The sequence below is a fragment of the Homo sapiens genome, chromosome 3, assembly GCF_000001405.40.
Source record: "Homo sapiens chromosome 3, GRCh38.p14 Primary Assembly".
In the NCBI taxonomy this organism is placed as follows: domain Eukaryota; kingdom Metazoa; phylum Chordata; class Mammalia; order Primates; family Hominidae; genus Homo; species Homo sapiens.
Genome location: NC_000003.12, coordinates 60,607,359 through 60,627,152, shown reverse-complemented (window position 1 = coordinate 60,627,152; position 19,794 = coordinate 60,607,359). Strand labels below are relative to the sequence as shown.

The window sequence follows — 19,794 nt, the reverse complement described above, 5'->3', positions numbered from 1 at the left end:
CAATGCAAGGAAACTACAGACCAATATCTTATCAATACAGATGTAAAAATCCTCAGTGGAAGACAAGCAAACTGGATCCAGCAACATATTTTGTACCATGGCCATGTGGAATTTATCCCAGAAATGCAAGATCATTTTAACATATGAAAACTAATAAATGTAATATAGCATATCAATAGAATAAAGGATAAAAGCAACATGATTATATCAATAGACATAGAAAAAATATTTGAAAAACATTTAACACCCTTTCATGATAAAAACACTCAAGGAAATAGAATAGTATGAAACTTTCTCAACCTGATAAAAAGCATTATTAAAAATTCACAGCTCATATCATACTTAACGTAAAAAAAAAAAAAAAAAAGAGTGTTTTCCCCTAAGATAAGGAAGAAGGCACAGATATCCCCTCTTGCCATTTCCATTCAACATTGTCTAACAGTTCTAACCAGGGAAATTAGGCAAGAAAAAGAAACTGCATTCATATTTGAAAAGAAGAAAAACTTTATTATAAATGGCATAATCTTATATATAGAAGATCTTAAATCCACTAAAAAACCTATCAGAAATAAACAAGTTGAGCAAGTTTTTAGGATACAAGAACAATATACACAAACTCATTCTCTCTATTCACTTGTGATAGACAATCAGAAAATGAAACTGAGAAAATTCCATTTATGAGGGCATCAAAAAGAATAAATACTTGGGAATAAATTAAAAGCAACAAAAAATATAAACTCTGAATTTATGTATATTTGAAATAAGTTGAAGAATATCTAAATACAAGGCAAGACTTTTTATGTTTGGGGATTGGAAGAGTTATTGTTAAAAGTGCCAAAAATTGTTGAGTGCCATAAAGATTCAATGCAACTCCTATCAAAATCTCAGCAGATATTGTTGTAAAACTTGACAGGATAATCCTAAAATCATACAGAAATTCAAGGGATCCTGAGAATAGCTGAAACAGTCTTGAAAAAAAGTGCGAACTTGGAGGATTTCCTGGTTTCGGAACTCATGACAACTCTACAGTGATCAAGAGAGTGTAGTGCTGACATAACAATAAAGATCAATGGCATAGAACTGAGATTCCAGAAATAAACTCACATTTACTATCAACTGATTTTCAAAAGTGCTGCCAAGACAATTCATGGTAAAAACCTTTTAAACAAATGATTCTGGGGCAACTAGGTCTCCACATGCAAAAGAATGAATTTGGATCCTTACCTGACCCCATATACAAAGATTATCTCAAAATGAATCTTGGCCTCAAATGTAAAAGCTAAAACTATAAAACTCTTAGAAGGAAACATAAGCATAACAAATGGCCTTGGATTAGGCAAAATATTTTAGATATGATGTCTTAACAACATATGGAAAAAGACAACACAAGCAACAAATGGAAAAAGACACAAGCATTAAAAACTTTTGTGTTTCCATGGATAACATCCAGAAGCTGAAAAGAAACTCCACAGAATGGGATAAAATACTTACATATCATATATCTGATAAGAGACTTGTATCTAGAATATATAAATATTTGTATAAACCCAATTTAAAAAATGGATAAAAGGTCTGAATAGATATTTATCCAAAGAAGATATACAGATGACCAATAAGCCCATAAAAAGATACTCAGCATCACTAGTCATCAAGAAAATACAAATCAAAACCATAGTGAGATACCACATCACCTCATAGGATGGCTATAATTGAAAAGAAGACATAGAGGAACTTGAACATACATTGCTGGTGAGAATGTAACATGGTATAGCCACTTTGGAAAACAGTCTATCATTTCCCCAAAAGGTTGAAAAACGAATTGCCATATGATTCAGCAATTCCACCTGTAGATATATACCCAAGAGAAATGAAAACATATGTCCACTCAAAAGCTTGTACGTGAATGTTCATAGCAACATTAAATTTGCTAAAAACTAGAAACAAGGCCAGGCGTGGTCGTTCATGCCTGTAATCCCAACATTTTGGGAGGCTGAGGCGAGTGGATCACTTGAGCTCAGAAGTTCAAGACCAGTCTGGGCAACATGGTGAAACCTCACCTCTACAAAAAATACAAAAATTTGCCAGGCATGGTGGCATGTGCCTGTAGTCCCAGATACTTGGGAGGCTGAAGTGGGAGGATTGCTTGAGCCTGAGAGGCGGAGATTGCAGTGAGCTGAGATTGTGCCATTGTACTCCAGCCTGAGCAACAGGGCAAGACTGTCTCAAAAACAAACAAACAAACAAACAAAAAAAAAAACTAGAAACAAGCCAAATATCTTATCAATTTCTGAATGGACAAACATGGCATATCCTGTCAATTCAATATCATCTTGTAAAAAAAAGGAATGAAGTACTGATACATGTTACAACATGGATGAACCTTATAAACATTACAGTAAGTGAAAGAAGCCAGTCAGAAAAGACCACATATGGAATAATGGACAGCCAGAGGGTCAGGCCTACCACAGACACATTTAACATTATTAACATTGCTAAGTAATTTCAGTAATATTATTTATTCCAAGTTTTTATTCTGCCTTTATCCAGTTTTTCTTCTTGGTAGACTCCATTCCCACCCTTCTTGAATATTTTACTTTTGGAATCATTGTCAAAGCAGTCCTCTCTCTTCATTCCTATTCTCATTCATGTTCCTATATTTATAAAACTATAAAACTTGCTCAGATTCCTGTATTTTGCTGGGACTCTCCATCAGCTTCCTAACTTGGGCTGGTCTTCTGTCCAATTCCATTCAAATCCACACCAGCTGTAGGGATTTTTCTAAACTTCATATCCAACCTGTCCTCTGCCAAATCTTGCCAAATATGTGTTCATCATTGTCAAGTTGAAGCCCAAGCTGCTCAGCATGGCTGACTTAAAAAGTAAGCTAAGCTTTCCTGCTGTCTCTTACCACTCCTTGCTTCTCATTTTGCATTCTGGCACCACTGAACTGCATGGACTTCTCTGCATACGTCCTACTGGCTTTTGCCTTCACACCACTGGCTCTACCATTTCTTCTCTCTGGGATGCTCTCCTCATTAACTTTTGGCCTCCTTACTCCACTTAGGCATGGATTAAACAGCCCTTTTGAATGTGCTCTGAGTCAGTTTTTCTGTTTTTCTCTGTATTACTATAACATTGTACTTAGCATGTTCTGCCATAATTATCTGTTCATGTATTGTAGAATTTTTCAAAAGCAAACACTATGTTTTACTCGTTGTATAGCACAGTGCCTGATGCATAGGAGATCCTGAAGTGGGGGGTATGGAGGGAGACATTGACCTTGAGAGAAGCCTTCTGTTCCCTCCAACTGGCTTCTTCAGGCAAGTTTAAAGACCAAATCGGGTTGGGCAAATAGATGGTTAACCGGTGTGTTCCTGAAGACACGCCGAAACGAGGACTTCCTTGCTCTTCCCATAGTTTTACTACCATGACAGTCCATTTCTAACTGCAATTTAATTTGTATCTTACCAATATGACATGCTAGTGCTGTTCCTTCTGCTTTAACTGAGCCTATGTATCACCCAGTGCCTCTCAAGCAATTGTTTTTTATAAGTCATAAAGGCTCTTGACTTAAACTTTGGTATGTGCGAGTTGAGTGATACAAACACACAGTATTTCACTTGAGGTCAGAACACAGCCCAGCACAGATTTAAAAAGAAAAAAATGAACATGTTTTACAGCTAAAATGATGGGATATAAATCCTTGTCCTATCATTTATTAGCTCTGGGACTGTGGCTAGATTACTTGATTTCTATAAAGCTCCAATATCTCATCTGTAAAGTGGGACTATTGGCTTACATAAGTATCATGTTAAATTGAGATGGCATGTCGAATTTAGAGCATGCCATGTAGCACAGTTCTTTCTTGAGCTGCAAGATCTTGTGCTTGCAGTGGAAAATAAAGTGATGGCATATTGGACAGGGGAGGTTACACTTTGGTGACAAATAGATCAGCCACGCAATTGCATTAAAAAAGTTATTTCTTGCTCATGTAACAGACTAGTGATTACTTGTTACGTATCTACTATGTGTGCCAGGTCCCGCACTAGGCACTGTAGGTATGGTCTTGAACAAGACAGGCAAAAATCTCACAGTGCTTCTAAAGATGGGCTTCGTGGGAGAAAAGGCTGATTATGTTTGCACCCACTGCAAGTTAAGGTGTACGACTGTCAACAGCAGCATCTTGAAGTCATGAATGTGTGTACCGTCTGAATTATCTGAATGTTGGATCCCTGCCTGGTTGGGTGCAGGAGCCTGGGAGAAGAGATGCTTCTTTTGAGCACGGAGCTCAGAAATGTGGCAAAGGCTGAAACTACTGATGAAGGACAAGGTCTTGGAATAATGTATTGTTTCAAACCTTGATGCACAAATTCTCTACTTCATGAGCGATTCTAGCGTAAAGCAGGCATGCTTTCTCTAGAAATGCCTCCCTCCAACCAAAAAACCCCAAAGTGAAAAAGAAGAAAAACTGAGAACACCAGAGGCCTTAAATTCTTATGAAGTATGAGTTTTAATGCATGCATCCAATCAGCCCAGGCTGAAGTGTTGACATTGGATTTATTTGCATGACTTAATAGCTTATTTCACAACCCACTCAAAAGCTCCTTTTCCCTTTGAGTTCTGATTGTTTTGTTATAGTCCCTGTGGATACAATTCACATCAGCACTGGGTTTACTATATATTCCCCCTTTGCCTTTCTCTCTCTTAAGTGTGTTAGTCCTTCCCACCTAATGACAAAAGCAGTTTCCTAAGCAACTGAGCACCAGAATGTGTTAAAAAAAAAAATCTAGATTTGTACGTTTCAAAAAATCCACATAAAGAACTGTGATTTGCTTTAAGGAAGGGGCAAATGGAAACATGGTTTTAATTGAGATATGGATATAATCCTGTTCCAGTTGGTCACAGATGATCTTTTCGGCCAATTTGGGACTGATGAGGAAAAGACCACTTGGGTGCTTGTTACCTGTAGAAAGTACTTTTAGGGGCACCGTGAGACATGGAGGCTTGCCCGGGTTTTCAATCTTGACTCCATCACCAATCATTGAGTCATCTCAAGCAAGTTATTTAAGCTCCCTGACTCCCAGCTTTCTTGCCTCTAAGATGGGGATAACAATTCCTATGTTTGTGTAGCTAAGAGAGCTCAAATCCTTAAGAAAAATGCAGAGGGTTAATTCTCCCTACACAGTGGACACCTCATTGGCATACTAGCTGTGTGGATGAAAGGTTGATTCTCTCTAGAATTTAACTGTCAGACCATGTAATTGTATTTTTTTTTTTTTTTGGAGAGTGTCTCACTCTGTCACCCAGGCTGGAGTCCAGTGGCATGATCATAGCTCCCTGTACCCTTAATCTCCTGTGCTCCAGCGATCTTCCCTCCTCAGCCTCCCAGTTGTAGCTATATTTTAATGGCCTGATTCCTTTTCATCTTGACTTAATTGCCAACCACTCAAGTATTTCTAGAGCCCATACTATGTGACTATTGCTGTACAATGCTCTGGAAAGCCAAAAGTGTGTTTGTATAGTGACCACCTTGCACATGTATTTTCTGGAGTCTTTTTTTTTTCACATAATGCTCAGTGCAGTCACTAGTAGTTGCTTTAAGGAACTGTCCAAATTTCAGAATGATATTTATAAAATGTTCCATTTATGTTTGAACACTTTTTGGAAATAAGTGTAATAGTAAGCATATTAAAAATTAGACTGGGGCTGGGCACGGTAGCTAGTGGCTGTAATCCCAGCACTTTGGGAGGCTGAGGCGGGCAGATCATGAGGTCAGGAGTTCGAGACCAGCCTGGCCATTGTAATGTAAACCCTGTCTCTACTAAAAATACAAAAAAGTAGCTAGGCGTAGTCGTGGGCACCTGTAATCACAGGTACTTGGGAGGCTGAGGTAGGAGAATTGCTTGAATCCAGGAGGTGGAGGTTGTGGTGTGTCCAGATAGTGCCACTGCACTCCAGCCTAGGTGACCATGTGAGACTCCATCTCAAAAAAAAAAAAAAAAAAAAAATCAAAAGTAGACTGGAAGCATAAATACCAAACTGTGAGGAGCATTTGCCCCAGGAATGAAAGGATTGGTGTGAAAACATCACTTGGGAGTTAAATGTTTTAGTCTGGATACTTCTGAGTGGTTTGACATTTTTTATAAGGCTATTTATATATTATTTGGTTTTAAGAAATCAATACACTATTTCTTTTTTAACAATTTTAGGTTTACAGAAAAATTGAGCAACGAGTGCAGAGTTTGCCTACGCCCCACCACTCCCCCAGTTTCCTTTATAATTAACACTTGCATTAGTGTGGTATATTTTTTACATTTGATGAGCCAATTTTGATACACTATTATTAACCAAGTCTGTAGGTTATGTTATGGTTCAGTCTGCATTGTACATCCTATGGGTTTTGACAGCTGTTGAATGACATGCAACCACTGTTATATCATTCAGAATAGTTTTACTGCCCTAAAAAATCTCCTATGTTCTATCTAGCCATCCCTCTTTCCCTCCCCCTCCTCTGAGCCCTTGCAAACCATTGATCTTTGTATTCTCTTCATAGTTTTTTTTTTTTTTCCAATGTATCCCATCACTGGAATCACACAGTATGCAGCCCTTAAAATTTGGCTCCTTTTGCTTCGCAGTATGCCTGTAAAGTAACTCCATGTCTTTCTGTGGCTCAACAGCTCATTTCTTTTTAGTATGGCTGAATAATGGTCTGCGTATACCATGATTTGTTTATTCATTCACTTACTGAAGGTCATCTCAATTACTTCCAGGTTTTGGCAATTTTGAATAAAGTTACTATAAACATCTGTGTGCAGGTTTTTGTGTAGAAATAAGTTTTCAACTACTTTGGGTAAATACCAAGGATTATAATTGCTGGATTGTATGGTAAGAGTACGTTTCATTTTGTAAAATATTGCGGGTCTTCTGAGGTTGCTATATCATTTTGCATTCCCATCCACAGTGAATGTGAGTTCTGTTGCCCCACATCCTCACTAGCACTTGGTGTTGTCATTGTTTTGAATTTTCACAATTCTAATAGGTACATAGTGGTATCATTGTTTTAATTTGCAATATCCTAATAATATATGTTGAGCTTCTTTTCATATGCCTGTATTCCATCTGTATGTATTTTTTGGTGAGGTGTCTGTTCAAGTCTTTTGCCCATTTTTAAATTATTTTTCTTAATGAGTTTTAAGACTTTAAAAAAAATATTTTGGATAACAGTTCTTTATCATACATGTTTCTTGCAAATATTTTCTCCTAGCCTTTGGCTTGTCTTTCTCAGTTGACAGTGTCTTATATCAAGGAGACGTTTTCAATTTTAATGAAGTCTAGCTTATCAATGATTTCTTTCATGGATTGCACCTTTGGTATTATATATAAAAAGTCACTTTCATGCTCAAGATCAGCTGAACTTTCTTGTACATTATTTTCTAGGAGTTCTATGGTTTTACATTTTACATTTAGGTCTGTGATTCATTTTGAGTCAATTTTTGTGAATAGTGTGAGGTCTTTGTCTAGATTCTTTTTTTTTTTTTTTTTTTTTTTTTTTGCATGTGGGTATCCATTTGTTCTAGATCCATTTGTGGAAAAGACTATGTGGGCTTTCTCTTCTGTTTCACTGATGTATTTGGTGGCTTTTGCCAATACCACACTGTTTCAATTACTATAGCTTTGTTCTAACTCTTGAAGTCGGATAGTGTCAGTGCTCCTACTTTGTTCTTCTCATTTAATATTGTCTTGCATATTCTGAATCTTTTGCTTTTCCATGTACACTTTAGAATCAGTTTGTTAATATCCACAAAAAATAGGTTGCTGGGATTTTCATTTTCTTTGTATTTATTAGGCAAAAATATTCCTTTATTTACATTTTATTCACATTTAGTTTTTTATGCGCACATTTAAAGGACTTTATTGTAAACAACGACAGTGATTCTAGAACAGTAGATAGCTTTTTTAAATGTAATTACTCTTGTAAGAGGAAAAAATACATGATACTAAAGGATTGTATTTTGTGACCACCTATAATGCAACAAATCATCTACTTAGTTGCTATGTTAATCTTTGCTGCTGTAACAAATTATCAGACTCAGTGGCTTCAAACAACACAAATTTATCATCCTGTGGTTCTGTAGGACAGAAGTATGATACTGGGCCCACTGGGCTGAAAAGGTACCAGCCGTACTGCATTCCTTTTTGGGGCCTTTAGGGGAGATTCTGTTTCATTGGCTTTTCAGTTTTCTTTGTGGCCCCCTGCATTCTTTGGCTTATGGTCCCTTCCTTCTTCAAAGCCTCCTTTTCACCTCCTTCAAAGTGGTCAAGTCTGTCTTATACAGCATCATTCTGACCTCTTTTGCCTCCTTCTTCCACTTTTAAGGACCCTTAGCATTATATTAGGTCCACTCAGATGATTCAAGGTCATCTCAAGGCCCTTAACTTAATCAAATTTCAACTTAATCACATTTGCAAAATCTTTTTGCATAACATATTCGCAGCTTCTTCAAATTAAAACGTTGACATCTTTAGGTGTGGCCATGATTCTGCCTGCCACAGTAGAACTTGTTTTCAAAGTAATCAGGTTTTGCCCTCAGCAAATTAACGCAGGAACGGAAAACCAAGCACCACATGTTCTCACTTACAACAGGGAGCTGAATAATGAGCACACGTCAACACATGGAGGGAACAACACACACTGGGGCCTGTTGGAGGGGTGCTGCTGGGAGGGAGAGCATAAGGAAGAGTAACTAATGGATGCTGGGCTTAATACCTAGGTGATGGGATGATCTGTGTAGCAAATCACCATGGCACTACCATCTCTACAGCAGCACAGCCTGTATCAAATAATGGTATGTTGGAGTAATTCAAACTGGAAAATAGGTAGCTAGGAGGACTGCACCTGAGCATATCAACCATGAGTTTCCATAAACCTGTAAAACAAAATAGCCAAAGAATTATTACATATATATATCTGTGGTTAAGAAATCATACCCCTCCTTTTTGAAAGGCCCAAATTCAAAATGAAAAGATACCACTACATTATATGACTGGCTTTCAAAAATTCCCCAGTGTTCTGCTTAACTTTTTAAATTTACTTTGTATCTTTTTTTTTTAACTCCAGAGTAGAAGAGTGATGCTTGATGTCCTCAAGTTACAGCCAGCATTTACTAATTCTTTGATTTGACTTTATAAAGTACTTATGCTTGAATCCAGAACCCAAGGATTTTTCAGTTATCACAAATTACTTTCACAGAAGGCTAATTTATTATTCTATGAGACAATCCATTAGATTGGTGCAAAAGTAACTATGGTTTTTGCCCAAAAACCATAGTTACTTTTGCACCAAGCTAAAATATTCTTCTCACTAAACTTTTTCTCTGCCAAAAGATCACATCTGGATAACTTTTTTTCCCCACATCTGGATAACTTAAGGCAAGCTTTTGTACCTCTTCTTCAGTACCTCAGAGAGAAAACAGCTTCTGTTTGATATTTGTGTAGTTTGTTTTGGCATAGTCATTGGAAAGGTCTAGGATTTTGGTTCCTGGACCACATATTAAAATAGCAATTCCCTACTGTTCAAATTGAAACTTGCCTGTAAAAATTCAATGTTAGTTTTTACCTGCTTGGTACCCTGAATTAAGATGAAAGGGTTTTAAAAAATCATCTTTCTTACAAAATCTGTGGGATCATTGTGACCCAATGAAAAATATACTTCCTGCAAAACTTTAACCATCTGTTTATTCAGATCGAGACTATTGGAAAAGGTACAAGGGACATTGGTCAACAATCAACAAAGGCATTTACAGGTAAATCCAGCTGAGTAGAGGAACTCATAGAATCCCTAAGTTTAGGTTTTCATGGGACAAAAGAAAGCATTCAGGAGAATGGCCCAAAATATTTACAGTATCAAGATCTGATATCATAATCCTTCATAGATCCCATTGTTTTGAAAGACGTTCAAGAGTGTGTGTTATAGCTTTTAGTTATTTTGATATGATGCTAACAATCACTTCTTTGCTAGCTCCTTTGGAACGAAGAAACATCTTCAGGTCCTGCTCATTGGGAACATTCTGTTAAAAACTCCAGGCTGTCGTTTCTTTGCCATGTCAGTATCCACTTCCATAGTAAGTTATTCAGTGGTTCCTCATTCTCCAAAGCTCATTGTCTGCATCGTTTCACTTCACACCAAAAAGCCTAAGTGAAACTGATTTGAAGAGCATTTCTGCTGAAAATCAGGTCATCCAACATTTTGAATTAAAGTGAAAGTTCTCATATACCAGAGATTTCTTGGTGCCATAATAGTCAGGTAGCCCAAACCTTTCGGAATGCTGTGTGCCGTAGATGGCTTTTACTTTGGCTTGGGATTTTTAAAACTGAGGTTGCATTGAATGTATAGGTCAAGTTGAGAAGAACTGATATCTTGACAATATTGAGATTTCCTGTCTGCGTATGTGGATAGCTTTCCTTTTTCTTAGATCTTTTGTATTTCTTTCAGCAAAGTTTTATAGTTTTCCTTATATAGATCTTTCACGTTTGATTTATACCTAAGTATTTAAATTTTTGGCATTAATGTAAATGGTATTGTGTTTTTAATTTCAAGTCCCAATTGTTCATTGCTAGCAATAAGAAGACAATTGACTTTGTATATTAACTTTTGTCCCACAAGCTTGCTATGATTGCTTATTAGTTCTAGAAGTGTATTACTTGTATAATTAAAAAAATTTTAAAAAAGAATCAAAGAGTATGGAGGAGAAACTTTCAGCACACCTGTGCACATCATAATCATTAAAATGTGATGAAATATGTTGACACCAGGTGTTGCTTTTGTGAATTTCCTGTAGTGGCTTAGAATCACTTTTGCTTATATTTTCAAATGTGAAGATTTGTATAATAAATTAAACTGAACAAACAAGAAAACATCTGGGGTGAGTTTTTGTAACAGGTGTTGTGTAAATAGGTCTTGTGGATATCCAAACAGGTGACACTACCTAAAATATACACACATGTTGGACTCAACATGCACAGAAACAAAGCATGTGGAATAGAAGAACCTAGACAATGGTAGTCCCAAGAATTGTGACCTAATGACAAGTGATATTACTGACAAGGGTGTTAATAACTCATAGACAGATCAGAGTTTCGATAAGGAAAGCAGGGACATCTCTCAATGTACAGCAATGAGGAAGACTTCATTTGTGCACATTTGTCTGACTTCCAAAGAACAGTTTCTTTATCTCTTTTTCTTCCACATCTCACTCTATTCTTATTGGTAAACTTCACTCGAACCATCCAGGGAAGAGTATTCTGGGAAATGTAGTTCTTGCCATCAGCTTTGCAATGCAGAGAGCTTAGATGGAGCCTTATCTTATGGAATCATATTTTATTTGAATAAGACTTCTACAAAATGTCTTTTTCTCCTACTGGATTACAAGTTTCTTAAAGGTTAAGATTGTTTCTTTTATGTCTGAATATATCTTGCAGCATCTGGCAGAGGGTTGTACACATAGTAGGTATTACTCAAATATTTGCTTAATAAATTAATGGATGATATTACTTAAAGTACTGTTATGATCAATGTAAGTTACCGCATAGGTGAATTGGACCATCACTTTGCTCTGACGAATGGCTGTAACTAAAATGAATAGCCAATTTAAATTTCTGATTTATTAAGGCCTTTTTACTGCTGTTCTTTTACTGTAATACTCTGGTGGTTTGCACTGGTCATTAACTTCAGTCTAGAGTATTGAGATGTTAGTGAAGAGTTGGTACATTCAGCCCACGGAATCACGTTTCCTACATGATCATAGCTGGTATGTCTGAGAGCAGTTGAATAGCTCCTCTAATGATTGTAGAACACTAGAGTGAATGACAAATTATTGGTGTCTGATATTATATGATTGGTAAACAACCATTATGCACTTTGTTTCCATCCCTCCAGGAAAGCTAGATTATCCCCAGATAGTAGATTGCTGTATGGAAATGCCAATAGTTGCTCCCTGTTAATCCAAGGTAACAATTCAAGAACGGTCATTTGATATAAGAAATTTTTACTGTAATCCCAGCACTTTGGGAGGCCAAGGCAGGCAGATCACGAGGTCAAGAGATCAAGACCATTCTGGCCAACATGGTGAAACCCTGTCTCTACTAATAGTACAAAAATTAGCCGGGCGTGGTTGTGGGCGCCTGTAGTCCCAGCTACCCGGGAGACTGAGGCAGGAGAATTGCTTGAACCTGGGAGGCGGAGGTTGTAGTGAGCCGAGATCATGCCACTGCACTCCAGTCTGGCGACAGAGCAGGGCTCCATCTCAAAAAACAAAAAAAAAACAAAAAAAAAACAAAAAAAAAACAACTTTTGCAATTTTTTACAAATCGATGGCTAGTTAAGAATGACTCTACCAGGCACCCTGTTACGATGGGGTTCACCTTCAGGTCCAGTAGGATGGGTTTAATAAATAATTTCTATGCTGTCAATCCACTGTAATGTCCAAATAGAATACACATTTTTTGGCACCCAAATAGACTTAGGTTATTTATTTATTTATTAATTTTTTTTGAGGTGTTTTGTTCTTGTCCAGGCTGGAGTGCAATGACGTGATCGATCTCGTCTCACTGCAACCTCTGCCTCCCGGGTTCAAGCAATTCTCCTGACTTAGGCTTCTGAGTAGTTGGGATTAGAGGCATCTGCCACCATGCCCAGATAATTTGTGTATTTTTATTAGAGATGGAGTTTTGCCATGTTGGCCAGGCTGGTCTCAAACTCCTGACCTCAGGTCATCCATCCACCTCCAAAGTGCTGGGATTGTAGGTGTGAGCCACCACACTGGGCTGGTTTAGGTTATTCTTAAGTCTTAGAACATGAATTCTGTGCTTCCAGAGCGATATTAAGCAAAACCAAGAAATATCTACTCATTTCTGTACATGGTGCTGCCATTTAACTGGCATACCTCTTTTCTTTTGTGTCAGGTGTTACAAAGGCATAGTTCATCACTTTGGTTTTTACTCTCATTCTCAGTGGGCACCTACTTCCTAATATCCATCTTCAGGTCTGTGTCCAGTCATGGCTGCTTATTAATGCTGCCACTTTGCTTGCCTTGTATTTCTCTTTCTCCACCCACCCACAACCTGTATCACTTCATGTTTCATGCTGTTCTCTGCTCTGTTGATTTTCTGCCAAGCTTATTTTGACAGTGTTCCTGGACTTTGTTGATCCTGTTGAGCTGATATACTCTTTTCACCTCTGCTTCCTACTTCATTGATTTCTTCTCTTGGGTACCTGAGCCCTTACCTCTGCTGTGTAGCATCCAGGAGTCTCAAGCCCCACTTTGTCCCTCCAAGACACCTGTGTGATATGTTGCATGGGGAGAAGCTACTAGTAGCCCCTTAGCCCTTATAAGCTCTTAAAGGCCAAGGAGCTAGTGAGCAGGGTTGTCTAAAGCTTAGACAAAGGAGAATGAGAGAAAAAGGGAAATGTAGGAATGACTGAAAAAGAAAGAAATGGAAGTTAAAGAAAAGGAAGTAGGGAGAGAAAGATGAAGGAATATAAAGGGAGTTGAAAATGGAGCATATAGGAAGGAGGGAAGGGCTGGAGGGAGGAGAAAAGAAAGATATAAGCAGAAAAGATAATCCAGGCTCCATGCAAAAGGTACTCTTCATTCAGGAGCTAGGGTTTTCATGTTAACTTGCTAAACCCTGAGCTTCACTCACTTTGTATCATTGTGCTTTTGGACTCCACTCTTTAGATCCTTTTGTCTACCTTACTCCCCAGCCCATCTCTCACTGCACTGCCACACTTACCTTTCCTGTGTATCACCAGGCCATCCCTCCCTGCCTCAGCAGTGGTGGCTCTCTTAGTTTCTGTTTCACTCCATGTTCCCAGACAGGTCTCAGGGTTGTACTCATTCAGTGAAGTGAGACTTGGAAATGCCACAAATTTTGGCCAGAACTCAACCTGAAGACCCTTCTGACCTGTAAGTATCCTTGAGAGTTCATAAGGAAGGAGGGGGCAGAGGAAGAAAAAGTCAAGCATTAGAGTGATGAAAAAGAAACTTCTGGAGAGTTTCAAGCTTGAAATCCCCTACTAATATTCAGAGGCATGTTCCTGCAGGCAAGATCCCTTTCTATTTTATTTAAATAATGACACTGTGACATTCTTGGCTGTTAATCCTCTAAATGGCAGTCAGGGTAACAGTCAAAGTCATAAAGCCAGGGATTCCAAATACCTTTTATCATTCATGCCAAATATGATTCGTTGCTGGCAGTTACCTGAGATACTGCATTGAGAGCCATTTGAAGGCTGTGTATAGACATAGTGGGAAGGATTCTGTTATTGATTAATAATGTCTGCCACAGCCTGAGGAGATGGGAGTGGTGGTCTGTGTGGCATGCATTTGTTTATCTAGTCTCAAAGTTCTTATAAGAGCATTTTCTGTTCTTACAGATAGATCTTTTACAGAGTTATCTAGCCAGAGATGAATGATATCCCTTCTTTTAAAAATTCTGAAATTTAACTAACTTTTACCACCACTTCAATTTATTTTCTTCAGACTTGGAATGGGTGACCTGGCTATAAGAAGGGCACAAATGTTTTTAAGCAATAGATATACCTTTTCCCCTAAATTGAAAAGTATCCAATAACCAAATATTTATACTCTGCTGCTAAAGCCAGGCATAGATTTCCTGATAATAGTGTAAAAGAGTATTTTTGTTTTGCTTTTTGTTTTAACAAGGTCAAGTATCTTTTGTGGAGTAATCTAGTTGGTACTAATTGGAGAAAGTGAGAAGATTCCTTTAGCTTCTATAATAGATATATATTTGCTATGATGATTCATATATGTATATCCATAGAGTCTCAGAGTTGGGAGGCAATTTAGATGGCTCTCAATTTGTGTGATTTGGGAAATGGAGATCAGAGAATATGTGACTTATTGAGAGTTTCACAGTTAGCTCATGACTCATTTTTCTTTTGTATAAAGAGTTGACCCTTCTCTTTGACCACTTCACTAAAGGCCATGGAGAGCCCCCCTAGGATGCCAGTCAGGGAGGTAGCCCCAGGTTTGGGTAAGAAGTCAGGATAGGCAGGTATTATTTCTGGGCCAGTTCAGTGATTGAGCATCATTAGGTAGAGCAGGTGAGGGCTAGGTGAGGAATGGGACATCCTGCTGAGAGTTTTGAAGCTGAGCAGAACAGTGACAGTATCAGGACCCTCTGCAGGAGCAAAGTAAGGGGGCCCTACATGACTGCCTAGAACAGAGCCAAAATGTCCTCCCAGCTGCTCTGTACACACACAGGTAGTTTTCACTAACCTCCATATCTGTGACATGTGGGTAGAACAAGTTTAAAGGTTTAGGACAAGTATGAAATCAAACTACTGGATAGTTCCTCCTACGAGGGCATCTTTTGTTAGCCATCTTATCCTGTTATTGGGTTACAGTAGTTCAGTGACAGAGGTAGTGATACTCAGGTAGATTTTTGGACCTGGTCTAGTATAGAGCCGAGCGTTAGAAAGTCCTTGTCCTACACTACATAAAAATCATCACAGATGGCAAAATACTATGTAAACAACACGTATTGCTCTCATGCTGATGAGGAACAATGGTTTCTTTCCATACCTTTATAAGGAAAGGCTTGGACTAAGGGGCCTTCCCTTCCTTAACCCGTTTATGCCAGAGGTTTCAGTTTTTTGAATTTTTGCATGAGTGAAAAATCAGACCTTGGTGATGACCTTGAGCTGTAGGTTATAAATAACTCCCACATGCTTAGCGTTCCTATAATGGAACACTAGGCATTAATGTCCTGCCATATATTTCTGTGATACTTGGCTCGATGTTAGCTTTACCATAAACATCTACCTAGGAATGTTTTGTTAAAAGGCAAATCTAATCCTCTTTTTCATTGGACCAACTGGACTTTGTGTTGCAAACTGGACCTTCAGTGTTGTGTTCCAGGTTTCTAGCCCATGCTTGGCACCCCCATCAGTACCCAATAAACATTTGTTAAATAAATGAATCTCAGCAGGATGAGAAGACAACTATGAGATGAGCCACAATTACTGGGCTAAATGAGCCTGAGATCACAGTAGCCAAAGGAACAGCTGGACCCCTTGGCTAGAGCCTTATGGTGTTGTCTCATTTAATCCTCACACTAATATCAGAGTAGCTGTGATGACTCCTATTTTACAGATGAGGAAATTTAGGCTTAAGAGTACATGGCCTGATGTCATTCAGGGAGTATGTAAAAGCTGGGACTGGAGCCAGGGTCGGCCTGCTGCTAAGCCCTTCTTCTCATCATTGCACCATGCCTCCTCCCAAGAGAAAAGCAAAGCTCTCCAGACTGGCGTAGGGTGAGAGCATTGTGTTCTTGCATAACTGAAATGACAGGAAAGAGCAAAAGAGAGCTTCCAGTAAATTACATCTTAAAAATGTGCAGCGATCTAAAAGAGCAGCCGCAAGGTGTTTTGATATTATTAATATTTTTTCGAAGTTTGCTGTAGTTGTCTGAGTCCTTTCAGGCAGGCAGTATGTGGGTACTTAATAATTTTTCATGTTGATTCTGTGACTGTCCCTAATAGTTCTCTCAAGAAGCTGAAATAAGGTCAAGTTGTTCAAATACTTACATAGGGCTTTGGAACCTATCGCACCCATGTTCAAAGCCCCTAAAACACTTAGAGTTTTATTAATGCTGGTATGCTTCATTCTCTGGGGAATTGCGTAGAAACTCTAGCATGAAACTACATTCAGGGTGATCATATCAGATGCTTTTTTGTGCATGAATTTGTTCTGTTTCTATTTCTGTATTCTGTAGAATTAAACCCTAATATCATTAATTAATAGAAACAATGTCAGTAATTGAAGCACTGTATAAATATTTAAATCAATCACAAGATTGTTTGGCAAATGAAGGTGGGTACATCTGGAAACTTATCACATAACTTACCCTTGGCAATAAAAAGGCATTTTTTAACTCTTCCCACTATGCAAGTGCACAGCAATGGTTTAATACAAACAAATTAGGAGGGGAGTGGAAGTGAGTATAATTTTGACACAAGCAGAATAAAACTCATATGCATAAATATAATAATAATGTAGTTTATTTACTGTGTGGTCTCTAGCTACAGCTGCATTCTAGCTGCCTTGTAATAAAATTAAAGCAACCGATTAAATACCGATTAGCTGGTTAGAGACAGATCAGATTATAGCACCAATTAAAATCAGTGTAGAACAATGTATTCAATCAGTCTAATCTTTCTTCTGTAAACAAAGTCTTGTTGTAATAAACTTTATTTTATGCATGTGCTTTGGGTATGCAGTATATTGTTGAGATAGCAGGAACTCCGGATTGATAGAAGGAAGATTAGAAGTTTTACTCTGCTTGGCACCTAAGAAATCAGACCTTTGAGGCACATTCCAGGAACAAAGACATCATGAAGAAGGGTGCCCAGATGGAAAGGCTATTTGAGAGTTAGGGTGGTACTTGCCTAAGCCTAGTGAATAAAACAATGAAGAATGCTTTTCCATAAGAAGCAAAAGGCTAAGGGCTGGGCGCGGTGGCTCATGCCTGTAATTCCAGCACTGTGGGAGGCCGAGGTGGGTGAGTCACAAGGTCAGGAGTTCAAGACCAGTCTAACCAACATGGTTAGACCCCATCTGTACTAAAAATACAAAAATTTAGCTGGGTGTGGTGGCACACACCTGTAATCCCAGCTACTCAGGAGGCTGAGGCAGGAGAATCACTTGAACCCGAGAGGCGGAGATTGCAGTGAGCTGAGATGGCGCCACTGCACTCCAGCCTGGGCGACACAGCTAGACTCAGTCTCAAAAAAAAAATAAATAAAAAAGGAAGCAAAAGGCTGAACTCTGTGCAGAAGGGAATAGGCAGCCTTAGACAGTACCAGAATAAAGGCAATGCTGGCAGATTTGTTGGATGGACATACTTATGCCTCCCATACATGAGAAAGACTTGAGTTCATGCAGCTGTCAGGTGGAATGCTATTTTCTTTTGAGACAGTTTGGAAGCAACAGGAGTCATGCATCAATCCCCAAAGTGGCATGAAAATGATCCATGTCCATTCAGAGTAGGAACAGCAGAAAATCTACCAGAAGTCTCCAGGACATTTATATACTTTTTTTTTTTTTTTCCAAATTGTGCGTGACCAGCATATGCATTCATATATTTAATATTTATTTGAATCAACTGACTTTTAAAACATAAATTTGTTTTTAAGGGAAACTCTGCCACCGTTTTAAGTAGGAAATCATGTTACCTATTATGAAGAGAAGGGAAACACAAAAATACTCAATGAGAAGAAATTGTTACAGACTAATTCAAGATAGTTATTTCCTGATAATGACTAGGTCTCTCTCTTTACATGACTTTGACTGACTTGCAAAACCAAATAACGATGTTCATAATTTAGGATTTATTTTTTCTTTTGTATTTATTATTCCTAAAATATATTCCTAAAAACAAAGTCTAGATTGTGGCATTGGGATGAAGGGGGACCTTGCAGTATTGTTGTAATGATATTGGGCCCAGTTCCTGTTTGACCCAACTCCTTTTTTTCCTGGTGGGAAAAAAAATAAAGGAGGCTAAATAAAAGCTAAGTCAACTTTCGTTATTAGCTGGGTCTTTGGACCTTCTGCACCCATGTAGCACCCCAGAGAGCTGGACTGAACCTCTGGTGAACACTTATGTACATATTAAAGTAGCTTCAGGGGCCTGGATCTAGAGCAGTTGATCCATTTCTCTTCAACTGTAATTGAGTGTCATATATCATCTGAGCAGTGGAAGGGGAGAACAGTCCAGAACAGCCATAGCACCTGAGGAAACAGCTAGAGAATGAGAGTGTTTGTGTTTACCCCCGCTGATTCTGGTCTAGAATAATTGGCTCAGGCCTACTCAGGCTGGGATGTTACCTTCAGAGCTGGTGGCCACTAGAAATGAAGAGGAAAGAGAGAGAGAAAGGAGAGAAAATTAGATAGGGAAAGAAAGAGGGTGAGAGTGAGAGTCTTGTCCTCTGCGTGAGCAGACGAGGGAAGATGGACATTACAGTGTACACCCCTGAGGGCTCCATCAGAAAGAGGCAGAGTGCTCCAGATGGAGCTGCTGCTTCTCTGGAATGGGAGAAGTACCTGCCCTTAATCCTCACTCATTGAGAGAAGATATAAGGCAAGTGGGAGCAGGGAGGAGAAGACTTGAGTTTCAGCAAGTAAGGGGCTTGAGTATTAGGTAAGAAGTGCCAAAGGGAATAGACACTATTCTCCATTCATCCTTTTTATTTCCCCTCTGATTTTCACAGCAAGCCAAGTTTCTGGCCTACTTCTCAAGAATATGAATATATATACATATATGTTTATATGTGTGTATATATGTATATGTGTGTATATATGTATATGTATGTATTGCAGACAAAAGTTTTCCTAAATTAGTGAAATTAGTACAAAATGAAAACCTTGTTAGGATGTCAGAGAAGAGGGAATAATTGAAGGGAGAAATGACTTGGAATTGTTTGCAAATGTTGAAGACACATCTATCACGCATGTGGTGTGGGAAATTGTGATACTAGAAACGTGAACTCAGTACACAATGAATGTTCAACACCTCTGCTACCTCAATCAGAAAGAATCTGTCTCACCCTGATGAGTTGCTCTGAAAATAACCACCAATTACCCCAACTTCAGTAGGGAAGATAATATACTTTTAATTAGTGGCAGACTAGATAGAAATATAAATCCTTATCATCCTAAAAAAGAATTCTACCATTTGCCAACCCTTGCAAGTAATAAACATGAAAGTGCCCTC

At 38.4% G+C, this 19,794-nt stretch overlaps 1 protein-coding gene, 1 non-coding gene and 1 pseudogene across 7 annotated transcripts in view; 2 read left to right on the top strand and 1 right to left on the bottom strand.

Moving 5' to 3' along the window:
* Positions 1-19,794, top strand: part of FHIT (fragile histidine triad diadenosine triphosphatase) — a 1,504,176-nt gene that overhangs the window by 624,300 nt on the left and 860,082 nt on the right. The window lies entirely within an intron of this gene.
* Positions 9,052-13,003, bottom strand: MTERF1P1 (MTERF1 pseudogene 1; annotated as a pseudogene).
* On the top strand, positions 9,283-9,348 carry MIR548BB (microRNA 548bb). The gene has a single exon (NR_128708.1). It is a non-coding gene; the product is annotated as a microRNA 548bb (primary transcript).